At 39.2% G+C, this 12,520-nt stretch overlaps 1 protein-coding gene across 6 annotated transcripts in view; it reads left to right on the top strand.

The window, feature by feature from the left end:
* The window catches only part of FSIP1 (fibrous sheath interacting protein 1), a 185,402-nt gene that overhangs the window by 1,917 nt on the left and 170,965 nt on the right, over positions 1 to 12,520 (top strand). For all 6 annotated transcript variants that reach the window (XM_011521305.4, NM_001324338.2, NM_152597.5 and 3 more), the window contains exons 2-3: positions 4,394 to 4,526; positions 10,315 to 10,498. In XM_011521305.4, the coding sequence (XP_011519607.1) occupies positions 4,401 to 4,526; positions 10,315 to 10,498 (310 nt within the window). In that variant the 5' untranslated portion in view covers positions 4,394 to 4,400. The remainder of the gene's footprint in view (positions 1 to 4,393; positions 4,527 to 10,314; positions 10,499 to 12,520) is intronic.

Raw genomic sequence — 12,520 nt, 5'->3', positions numbered from 1 at the left:
CACAGTCACATGTATTTTTTAGAAATTTTATAGTTTTGGCCAGGCACGGTGGCTCACCCCTGTAATCCCAGCACTTTGACAGGCTGAGGCAGGCAGATCACTTGAGGTCAGGGGTTCGAGACCAGCCTGGCCAACATAGTGAAACCTGTCTTTACTACAAATACAATAACAATAACAACGACAAAAAGAAAATTTTATAGTGTGAAGTTTTACTTTAGGTCTGTGATACATTTTGAGCAAGTTTTAGAATTGCTTTTAATAGCAAATATTCTATATACCACCTAAGTGAACTGATGAAAAAAGTGCTGCATCTATGGGATATTATGCTGTTGTTTGAAAGCATGACGTATATCTATAAATGGTGATATAGAAAAATAGATAAAATAAATTTTTTTTTCTTTTTTTGACACGGAGTCTCGCTCTGTTGCCCAGGCCGGAGTGGTGCAATCTCGGCTCACTGCAAGCTCCGCCTCCCGGGTTCAGGCCATTCTCCTGCCTTAGCCTCCCGAGTAGCTGGGACTACAGGCGCCCATCACCACTCCCGGCTAATTTTTTTGTATTTTTAGTAGAGACGGGGTTTCACCGTGTTAGCCAGGGTGTTCTTGATCCTCCTGACCTCGTGATCTGCCCGCCTCGGCCTCCCAAAGTGCTGGGATTACAGGCGTGAGCCACCGCGCCTGGCCAAAATTGATTGTTAATTGTGAAAAAGCAAGTTGCAAAGCACCATGCCATTTGTATGTGTGTCTGCGTTGGGGAGGAGTCGATGGGTATAAAAGATAGAAGGTTTGCATATGCCTAAAAAAATGAGACCTGCAAGTCTCTATTAACACTAATTCTTGGGATAAGCCGAATTTTGACTTAAAACATTTTGATATTCACCTGTATTATTTGATGTTTTTTCTGCATGGGCAAGTATTCCTTACAGATACACAAATATATAAAGTAAAAAAACTGACCATACATAAATAATTTTTAGACATAAAAATAATGAAACTAAATCAGTCCCACTTTTTAAAGTCTTGCTACTCATAATGACTAAACAGAGGAGGATTCATTTTCTTTTGATTCTTTTATTCACCTCAAAATACCAAATTATAGCAGCCATATGTCCCCATTTTGGCTTTAAATCATCTATGTTGATTGCATTTCTCAGAAGCCTCTATGAAAAACTTTAATCTTGTTTGAAATGAATGTTATATAAGTTGGCACTTGTTACAGTTTAGAATCTGGTCATATATCTAATCTATTTAATCAAGTATCATGAAGTAAATATGATTCTATTTTGAAGTGTTTTAATGTCATAAGAAAATGCTCATTATGTACTGGTGAAAAACACATTAGTCCAATTTTGTTGAAAAAGACAGAGCAAAAATGGGAAAGATGTACCAATAGCGTATAGCTCAGGGTGGTGGGATGTTGGGTGATTTTTATTTCTTTTCAAATACCTTTTAGTACATTCTAGAGATCTTTCTATAATAAATGAATTCTTTAGTTATAAATACAAGATATAGTTAATAGAAAAACAGAAAATACAGATAAGCAAGGGGACAAGAACATCCAGAAACCCACCAATCCAGAACCCACTACTCTTACTTCCTTGATGTGTCATCATCTTTCAGGTCCCTTTGTGTATATTCCTTTAATAAGAGAAGTTGGACTTTTTAAAGCAGGATTATTGGCAACTTGTATGTCTTTCTCTATTTTTTTTGATATGTGCATTTCTGTTTAAAATCTTTACCCAGTTTTCTATTAGAATTTTCTTTTCTTACTGATTGGTAAGAGCTCTATAAATATGTGAATATATTAACCTTTTGTATATCATCTTTGTTGCATTTATTTCCCCAGTTTCTCAGGTTCCTTTTAATTTCACTTAGAGTTCTTTTTCATGTTTGAGATTCAAGAGCATTAACTATTACGTAGCCACATCTGTTAGTCTTTTCCTTTTTGATTTATATTCTTAGTATCACGCTTACTAAGTCATTAATTCCATAATTATGAAATTTATCTTTACATTTATGTTTATAAATTTATCTTTATGTTCCTTCCAGTCTGTTAGAGATTTCATATTTTTTATTACTTATAAAATTAGTTTTTACTTTTATTAAAGTATTATGTTTAACTGTTGTTTGGCTTTATCAATTTCTGGACAGTCTCTTTGATTTCCTGTGGTAACAGATTACATTTCTGATACTACTCGCTTCCTTTTGTGCACTCCTCACGAACACTCAATATAATTAAGGCATAATATTTGGTTAAATCAACATTCAATGCTTACGTAATTATAACTATTTACATATTGATTGCTTTTTTCTTGTACAATGCTTTATTTTTCTTGTGGAATTTCTTTGTGGCAGTTGCAATTTCTTCTCAAATGCTTAAATACATCTATAAGATCCAATTTTAATACCCTTTACCAATACCTTTTTCTAGATGGCCAAATTCATAAGATAGTCTGTTATTGAGTCCCCACCTACCTCAGGAACTGCATTTTATTTAATTTATTATTTTCAGGAGTGAACCTAATAGAACAGACCTATTTCTAGAGCAAAATGAAAGATTTGTGGAGCTCTTTAGCTGATCCAGGTCATTGTTGGTTGCCTGTGCCTGTGCCTTTATTGACATGTATTATGCGGTTCTGCGCATGCTTCCATCTCATTGCTCCCTCTGCAAGCTGTAATAAGTCTCCCTTGACAGGCTGCTTAGGGCGTTTACAAGACATTTGGCCTTTTGGTGACTTATGCTTTTTGGTTTTGATGTGAGGGGCCAGGGTGATCCATCATCCCACAATAATAATGTCAGTGCTTTCCTGAGTGAGCCCAAACTCTTTTGCAGAGTTTGAATAATGTTGAGATCAATGCTTTTTTCATCTGCTGAGATGGGAAGAGCTGACCTCCTGATCTCTTAAACATAAGCTTTGGCACCTTGAATGGTTGGAAGCCAAGCCGTAACATCGCTCTGTGTACCTAGGTGAAGCCTCAGGTTGTTTATATTTGTGCTTTCTCCTGTGTCCACAGCTTCTCTGGACCCTGCCTCTGCTGTTCAAAAAAGCAAAAGAAAGATGAGTCATTTTGTAGGGTAAGAAAAGGACATTGTTGGGTAGAGGCAATTGCCTTTTTCATTCTGTTATGGTTGAATGTATAATTGATAGGAATTTAGGAAAGGATTTGTTGGAAGACACCCATTCACATGTAAATCCGAGTATGAGAGGGCAAAAGCTGGAATTACCCTCTTTCTTCCATTTGACTCAGCATGCGTGTTGCCCCAGTGTCACAGGACAGATCTGGAATGGTCTTAGTCAGCCACACAGTTTGGAAGGATCAATGTGCCTGCATCGCTCACTGTGTCTCTGTAGCTTATGCCACCCTGCCTAGTATTTCTTGCTTCCGGAAATAGCACTAGTTATAGAGCAGCCAGGGTGGTGAGAAGCCTGTGGATATATCACATGAAGAATAGTTAAATAGATTGGTAATGTGTAGCCAGATAATGAAAATCTGTCCTTTAATAAAGGAAGTAGGTTTTGTTCTCTTGCTTCAGAGGGCAGAAATAGAATTATGGGTTTTAGAAGGGGAGGGTTGATAAAATGAGAGCAGTGCCTGGAGATAGGTACTCCATGAAAATGCAGCCCCACGGGGGAGAGGAGAAATCAGAGCTGAGAGGGAAGAAGGCTGAACTAGAGTGGACAAGGCTAGAAAAAAGAAGGCAAAACCGAAAGAAAGTAGCAGGGGGACTTTGGGAGACCGAGGTGGGCGGATCACCTGAGGTCAGGAGTTTGACACCAACCTGGCCAACATGGCGAAACCCCGTCTCTACTAAAAAAAAAAAATACTATAATTAGCTGGGCGTGGTGGCGGGCTCCTGTAATCCCAGCTACTTGGGAGGCTGAGGCAGGGAGAATTGCTTGAACCTGGGAGGCAGAGGTTGCAGGGAGCCAAGATCGCGACACTGCACTCCAGCCTGGGTGACAGAGTGAGACTCATTTTCAAAAAAAAAGAGAAAGTAGCAGGAGGGCCTTAGCAAATCATTAAGATGAAGTGGATCTTGCTTGAGAGACGGGTGCCCCTGAGTGTTCCCTCGGGGAAGACCAGGGACATGTAAATGTTTTTTCCTGGAGGCCCAGGAAGCAACCAAGATGGCATTCACTTCTGTGTTCTCTTCTAGCCATATTCAGTATCTAACATCCTGGGCAGTATATTTTATGCATACTGTGGCATAAGATTGAACAATCCATGTACACAAGATGTCTTTTGGTGAAGCTGGGGAACCCTTAAGTGTGACTTCAGTAGCAACATAATCTTTAAAACAAAGCCTCTGAGTAATTGGATATTAATACTAACTAATGAAAGATTTAAATATCCGAGTCGCTTGGTATTAAATATTTTATTTGTTGTTTCAGGATTTCAATGGATATTATAAAGGGAAACCTAGATGGAATTTCAAAACCAGCTTCAAATTCAAGAATACGCCCTGGGAGCAGAAGTTCAAATGCTTCTTTGGAGGTGCTCTCAACAGAACCAGGATCCTTCAAGGTAATTTACGTTTAGAAAAGATTTAAACTCCTTTCCCCAACCTCTCAGCAGTTGATGAAACTAAGGTTGTTGTTAACATCCCATTTTAAATTTTCTCCTTAGACGGTGTGTTTGGGGAGCACTTGCAGATTTCTTGGATTTTAATCTAGATTAATATGAAAAAACTCTACTCCATTCCTTCCCTCCCTCCCTCCCTCCCTCTCTCTCCTCCCTCCGCCCCTCCCCTCCCTCTGCTCCTCCCCTCCCTCTGCTCCTCCCCTCCCTCCCTCCCACCTTCCTTTTTTTCCTTTCTTTTTTTGGAGTGTGGTTTATTTCTCTGCACTGTACTTTGTTAAAACTTGTGTATCGACTCTTTTTTTCTTTATAAGGAAGTTTTGTATTCCAACATCTAATATACCACCACTGACTTTTACTAAAAACACTTACTCAAAAAGATTCAGTATTTTAAAAAAACCGTTTGGTAAAGGCCATGTGATGTATATTGGGTAGGTATATTGTATTAGTCCTTTCTCACATTGCTATAAAAGAACTACCTGAGACTGGGTAATTTATAAAGAAAAGAGGTTTGCATGGTTCCACAGGCTGTACAGGAAGCATGGCTGGGGAGGCATCAGGAAACTTAGAATCATGGCGGAAGGTGAAGGGGAAGCTGGCACATCCTACATGGTTGGAGCAGGAGAGAGAGAGAGTGAAGGAGGAGGTGCTACACACTTTCAAACAACCAAATTTCATGAGAACACTGTCAGAAGAACAGCAATGATTCAGTCACCTACCACCAGGCCCCTCCTCCGACACTGGGAATTACAATTCGACATGAGATTTGGGTGGGGACACAGAGTCAAAACATATCAGATATTATCTGGCTGTGACCTTATTTTTTTTTTCTTCAGCAGTCCCTTTTTTTTCCTTAAAATATCTAGACTTCTAGACTTGATTTTTTTACTTAAAGCATTAGTTTTCTCATTTATTTCTTTTAAGGTTTTAGGAAATGAATAATTGAACATTATAATGAAAAATTTTGGCAAGTTAATGAATTCATACTCATTTTTTTTTTGTTTGTAGACTAGATTCTGCATTATGGAACTCTTAGAATTCTGTCTGTCATGATGTGGTTCAGGAATAGCATTCTATGTATTTCAAGCAGAAGGGGATTGAATACAAGAGTTAAAGCCTGGGCAACATTGTGAGACCCTGAGTCTACAAAAAATTAAAAAAATTAGCAGGACATGGTGGCACATGCCTGTAGTCCCAGCTACTTGGGAGGCTGAGGCAAGAGGATAGCTTGATTTCAGGAGTTCAAGGCTGCAATGAGTTGTGATTGTGCCACTGCACTGCAGCTTGGGTGACAGAGTGAAACTGTGTTCCCCCTCCACCTCCCCCACTGCAAAAAAGAGTTTAGTTCCTCAAAATCAACAGAAGACCTCAAAATCAACAGGTGACCAGCAAGAAAGGGAGTTCAGGGAGGGGCTATACCTGGATTATGGGTTCTCAGGTCACGCCACCAGAGCTGTAATCCAGAGATCAGAAAGTTGCTGCTGCTGCTTCCGCCACTGCCACAAGTCCCTCAGAACCACAAAGCTGGTGACTAGACATGCAGAGATGGCTGCCTTTGATATTTTTCTGCCAGCTTCCTATCAGGAACTTAGGACGATGCTTCTACCTCACATCTGCTTTCTAAATCTTGTGCAGGTTCATCTAATTGGATTATCCTAACGTACGTCCAGAACCCTAGCTATAAGTGACTTTGTACAAAATATAGTTTTGTTTCATCTAGTCCTGCATCATTACTATATGGTGTGTTAACTCTTACAGCTTTGTAATAATTACTGATATCTGATAGTGGCTCTTCCATATTGTTTGTTTTCAGGACTGTCTTAACTATCCTTGGCTTTTTGCTCCTCTGTATGTATTTTTTTTTTTTTTTGAGTCTTGCTCTTTTGCCCAGGCTGGAATGCAATGGTGTGATCTTGGCTCACTACAACCTCTGCCTCCTGGGTTCAAGTGATTCTCCTGTCAGCCTCCCGAATAGCCGGGGCTACAGGCACACACCAATAGGCACACCTAATTTTTCTATTTTTAGTAGATATGGGGTTTCACCATATTGGCCAGGCTAGTCTTGAACTCCTGACCTCAGGCGATCCACATGCCTTGGCCTCCCAAAGTGCTGGGATTACAGGCATGAGCCACTGCGTCTGGCCTATATGTGCTTTAGATCAGTTTTTTAAGTTCTGAAAAATCCGGTTGGGGTTTTGATTGAAATTGCTTTGACTTTACAGATTAATTTGGGGAGAATTTCTAACTTTGTGATATTAAATCTTGTCATGTATTAATATTGTATCTCAGTTGATCTATTAACTTTTAATTTTTAGTTAAAAAAAGTCACATACAATAAAATTCACTTTTTTGGTGTATAGTTCTATGAGTTTTGGAAGATAGATTGAGTGATATAACTACCATTACAATCAAGATATGGAGCAGTTTGTTCCATCATCCCTGAAAACATTTTTTCATTCTATTCCTTTGCAGATAATCCCATGTCACCCTTAATCCCTTACAATTACTGATCTATTCCCTGTCTCTCTTCTTTTTCCTTTTCCAGAAGTTTGTATAAATGGAATCATACAGTATGTAGCTTTTCACGCTGGCTTTTATCTCCTAGCATACTTAATACATTTGAGATTCATCCATGTTAATACATGTGGCTGATTTCCTTTTTAAAAAATTTTAAGTAGAGACAGGGGTCTCACTATGTTGTCCAGGCTGCAAATTTTAGAGTAGCATAGAATTAGTATTCCTGCTTATTTATTTCTGGGTGACAATTTTTTTAAGCAGCAACTTCATGATATTGATAACTTACACATATTTTAATACACAGATTAATATTACTTCATTCAAGACTTATTAAAAGGAGAATATCAGTGATCACGTAAACTCAGATTTTATTTGAACCTACTAAGCTACAGGTTAAACTCTAGAATATTTATTAGCCAATCTGGACTTTGGCACTTATATTGAAAGCAAAGTTTTCAAAGTTGTGATTTGTGTTAATCAAGTTCATAGAAAGTCAGTAAGGTTCACCTTAGATTGGGGAAGAAAGCTACAAATATATTGTATGCTGACTGCTGATTGCAAATCATTCAGCATCTAGAAAACCTTACATATTGTTTGACTAATAAATCTTGGTGTGCTAGTTAGTTTTATTGCTCAGATTTGTCTTTTATTAAATTCTTACCAAAGATTTTTTTCACAGCAGAAAATGAGCTTAAAATATTAGTGTTTTAGTGACATGTATTTAGTGATAATATATTTCTCATTCTAAAAATTTTGGCTTGTTGTTGCTTATTAATTTTTTTTTTAAAGAGCCAGTAGTTGTATTTTGTGTAAAAATCCCATGGGTTTCAAGTAGGAATCTAAATACTAGTAAGGGGTTTCATGAGGTATTTGCGTTTCCTGTGATTAAGATAAAGGTATGGAATGGGGGAAGTGGAGCCATGAAAAATGGAGGTGGGGCTGGGCACGGTGGCTCACGCCTGTAACCCCAGCACTGTGGGAGGCCGAAGTGGGCAGATCACTTGAACCCAGGAGTTCGAGACCAGCCTGGCCAACATGGTGAAACCCCGTCTCTACTAAAAATACAAAAATTAGCTGGGTGTGGTGGTGGGTGCCTGTAATCCCAGCTACTCGGGAGGCTGAGGCAGAAGAATTGCTTGAACCCGGGAGATGGAGGCTGCAGTGAGCCGATATCGCACCACTGCACTCCAGCCTGAGCGACAGAGTGAGACACCACCTCAAAAAATAAAAATAGGCTGGGCACGGTGGCTCACATCTGTAATCTCAGCACTTTGGGAGGCCAAGGAGGGTGGGTTGCTTGAGCCCAGGAGTTTGAGACCAGCCTAGGCAATATGGTGAAATCCCATTTCTATTAAAAAATACAAAAATTAGCTGGGTGTGGTGGCATGCGCCTGTGGTTCCAGCTAGTCAGGGAGGCTGAGGTGGGAGGATCGCTTGAGCCCAGGAGGTCGAGGCTGCAGTGAGCCATGATCATGCCACTGCACTCCAGCCTTGGTGACAGAGTGAGACCCTGTCCAAATGTATATATATATTTATACAGAGATGGGATGTGATGTTAAGAATGAGGAAGAGAGAAAAATCATGCATATAGGCCACAGAGCAGAAGAGCAGGGGGTTAGGAATAGAGAGGCCAGTGGGCAATGGGTTGGGGAAGACAGTTGGTAGCTAGTGGGGTGGGAAACTATGGGAAAATTTGTGAAATTTGCCTAGTTCTCCAGCTTCACCTTTGTACCTCATTACCTTCTGCTCTTTCTGAGTTAGGATCATATGAGATGATGGATGTGAAAGGTCTTGGGGTACGCTGAAGTGTGCTATCCATCTAGTTATGTTTTGTATATTCTTTATTCCCCCATGTGAAACCCAGCCGCAGAGGAAGGTCTGCTAAGTTGCTTTATACCAATATAAATGACAGGCAGAACTTGTGTGACTTCTCCCAGAAATGTTAGCATTTTCACAGGACGGAAGGCCTTAAGGATTAACTGGATATTGTGGAATTACAGACTTTTTCTGGCATTTGGCAGAAATATGTTTTTGAACAGGGAACCCTGTTTAACCACCTCCTGGATTACATAAAGTAGACACTATTTTGCTTATTTATAAATTGGGCCTTCACTAGTTTCGTTTTCTGCTAGGTCTGTTTTCTTCTCTGTTAATTCATGGTAGAGAAACTTACACCATAGGGTCATTGTGGGAAGCGAATGAGGCAGGCCATGACTGATAGTAATTCTTCAATAAATGATGGCTATGATTATTACCACTGAGTCAGCTCAGTTCCGCTGGGTTTATGTCCTGGCTCAGGCAGGGACATACTCACGCAGGCCTGCATTCCTGGCAGTTTCATTCTCAGCACTGTCCATCTTCCACCCTGGGGATTCACGAGGGGACTGCAGATTGTGGTGGAGAGTTGAACATGTGGTGCAGAGAAAACACAAAACCTACAGAGGGCTGAGAGCAGATGGGCTGGAGGAGACAGTCTCTCTGTTGGGAGGGGAAAGGTGCTTCTTTGAGAAAGGGCTGACTCTCTCTCTTTAAGGTCTTTCCTGTCTCCCTTGGGCTGTGTTAACTTCTGAAGTGATTTTCATCACAGTTTACAAACCCCAGGGCCTATGATCCCTGCTTTTCCCTCACCCGGCCATGGAGGTCCTTTTCTGTTCTCTCTTAGGAAAACACAGCTGTGTCAATTGGTGTTTTCAAAATGAACTTTGCTAAAATATAAAGGGAAACTAAAATGAAATAGAAAAACTGTGAATAACATAGAAATAAATAAATGACCAAAGCACAGGGTTCTGATTAGGAGACTCTCCCTAGAAAGCACATCTCAACTCAGACTATCCACTTTTCAACCATTCTGTAGCCACATGTGGCAAGTGGCTGTCGTATTAGACCTTTGACTGCCCATCCCAGTGTGAGCTCAAGGAGCAGGCCCGTCTGCCTTATCCCAGAGCCCGGCAGATAGCAGTTCCCTTCAGGACTGATGTAGACTCTTCTCCATTATTGCTAGGGATTGCTGGAGAATGGTGCAAATGTTATTACATGGAATTGTGTAGTTAAATTACATTTAATTAGAGTGTTATATTTCTAGAATACTTTAATGCTAGTGTATGCATTTATGTACATTCTCCATCTGCTTCCATTAGTGTCAAAATATTCTAGAAATGTAAAGTTTAAAAAAAGACAGTATTTTCGGAAACTGTTTTTTTTTTGAAATTATTTTTAGGTCGATACTGCAAGCAACTTGAACTCTGGTAAAGAGGACCACTCCGAAAGCAGTAATACAGAGAACAGAAGAACTAGTAATGATGATAAGCAGGAAAGCTGCTCTGAGAAAATAAAATTGGCTGAAGAGGGATCAGATGAAGATCTGGATTTGGTTCAACATCAGATAATCTCTGAGTGTTCAGGTAGGATAATCACTAGGTGATTGGCTAATGATAATTACAAATGTTAATGATTATTACAAATGTTATATTTAAGGTGTTAGTATTACCTGTGTTTTTATCAACTAAATATAAATAATAAACCAAAAAAAAGACATAGACTATTTGTGAGCAAGCAATCACTTTTTATTTATAACAATATTAAGAGCCCTTAAATATATTAGAAATATAACAAAATATGTCATTTAATAAAATTGTGGTCATTGTGCATTAATCAAGTAGGGAGTATTTCTGCATTTTTTGATGCAATTTATTGATTTTTTGATGACTAAAATTGTACAATATAATATATGCTCTAATTTATAGGGATAGTCCCACCCAATAACATTTGGATTTTCAAAGATGACATTTTTTATGCTGGTAAATTAATTCTAGTCAGATTGAATTAGAATAGTGTTTCTCAAAAAGTGGTCTGCAGAGCCCTGGGGGTATGGTGGGAGATGGTGTCCCTGAGACCCTTGCAGGGGCTCTGCAAGGTAAAAGCTGTTTTCATAGTAATGCTGAGATGCTATTTGCCTTTGTGTCCACCATACTGACATTTGCACTGATGGTATAAAAGGAATGGTGGGCAAAATTGCTGGTGCTTTATCATGAATCAGGACAATGGCACCAAAATGTACTAGTAGTCATTGTATTCTTTGCAACCAGGCACTGGCAGGAAAAAGACATAGCCAGTGTCACTGGCTATGAATCAGTAAAAACTATCAATTTTATGAAATTTTGACCCTTAAATATGCATCTTCTTAACATCCTGTGGGGAAAAATGGGAAGTATACATAAAGCAATTATGCTGTGTACCGAAGTTTGAGGTTGTGTTGAAGAAAAGTACTTTTGTGATGGTTGGAGTTGAGAGCTGAACTGGCCACTTTTATAATGGAACACCGTTTTTACTTGAAAGAATGACTGACAAACAATTCTCATTCAGATGGGTATCTGGTAGACTTCTTTTTAAGAAAATAAACATGTTACTTCGAGGATAACTACTGACAGTATTTGTTGCCAATGGTAAAATTTGAGCTTTGAAGTGAAAATTACAGTTTTGGAAAACTGCATATGTCACTGTGAGGTTGATAGCTTTCCAGTACTTAGACTTTTCTTTTTTTTTTTTTTTTGAGACGGAGTCTCGCTCTGTCGCCCAGGCTGGAGTGCAGTGGCGCGATCTCGGCTCACTGCAAGCTCTGCCTCCCGGGTTCACGCCATTCTCCTGCCTCAGCCTCCCGAGTAGCTGGGACTACAGGCGCCCGCTACCACGCCCGGCTAATTTTTTGTATTTTTAGTAGAGACGGGGTTTCACCGTGTTAGCCAGGATGGTCTCGATCTCCTGACCTCGTGATCTGCCCGCCTCGGCCTCCCAAAGTGCTGGGATTACAGGCGTGAGCCACCGCGCCCGGCCCTTAGACTTTTCTTATAAAAATTGGTGGCAATATTAACTGATGCCGTTGTGTAATGAAATGTGTTAAGAGGTTGAAGGTCTGCATAATTTAGTTAACCACTTTTTTCCAAATGATTAATGTAGGATAAAAGATCCATTCAATGTAAAATATAGATCCATGGATTTTAATGGAACAAATACATAAAGCTCACTGATTTGATTACAGGTTTCACTTAACAGTTAACCTGTAGGAAACCACCCCTGTTAAGTTTTGGTGTAGTATCAAAGAAGACTGTCCAATTATCTGAATAGGCTATTAAGTTTCTTCTTCCTGTTTTAACCACTTGTCTGTGTGAGGCCAAATTTTCTGCATATACTTTAGCCAAAACAACAGATTACAATAGGATGACTGTCTTCCTATGAGAATATGAGAATCCACCTGTCTTCCCTTCATCCAGATATTACAAATTTAAACAATACCACTCTTCTCACTAATTTGTTTGAGAATATAGTTATTTGTTATAAAATGTGATACTTATGTTAACATAATTAGTAATAGCATGTTTTTTATTTTTGAAAGTGAATTAATAAGTAAATATTTACTTTTCAGTGTT

The sequence above is a fragment of the Homo sapiens genome, chromosome 15, assembly GCF_000001405.40.
Source record: "Homo sapiens chromosome 15, GRCh38.p14 Primary Assembly".
NCBI lineage: Eukaryota > Metazoa > Chordata > Mammalia > Primates > Hominidae > Homo > Homo sapiens.
Note: the sequence above shows the minus strand (reverse complement) of the source record. Positions and strands in the feature narration are given on the sequence as shown.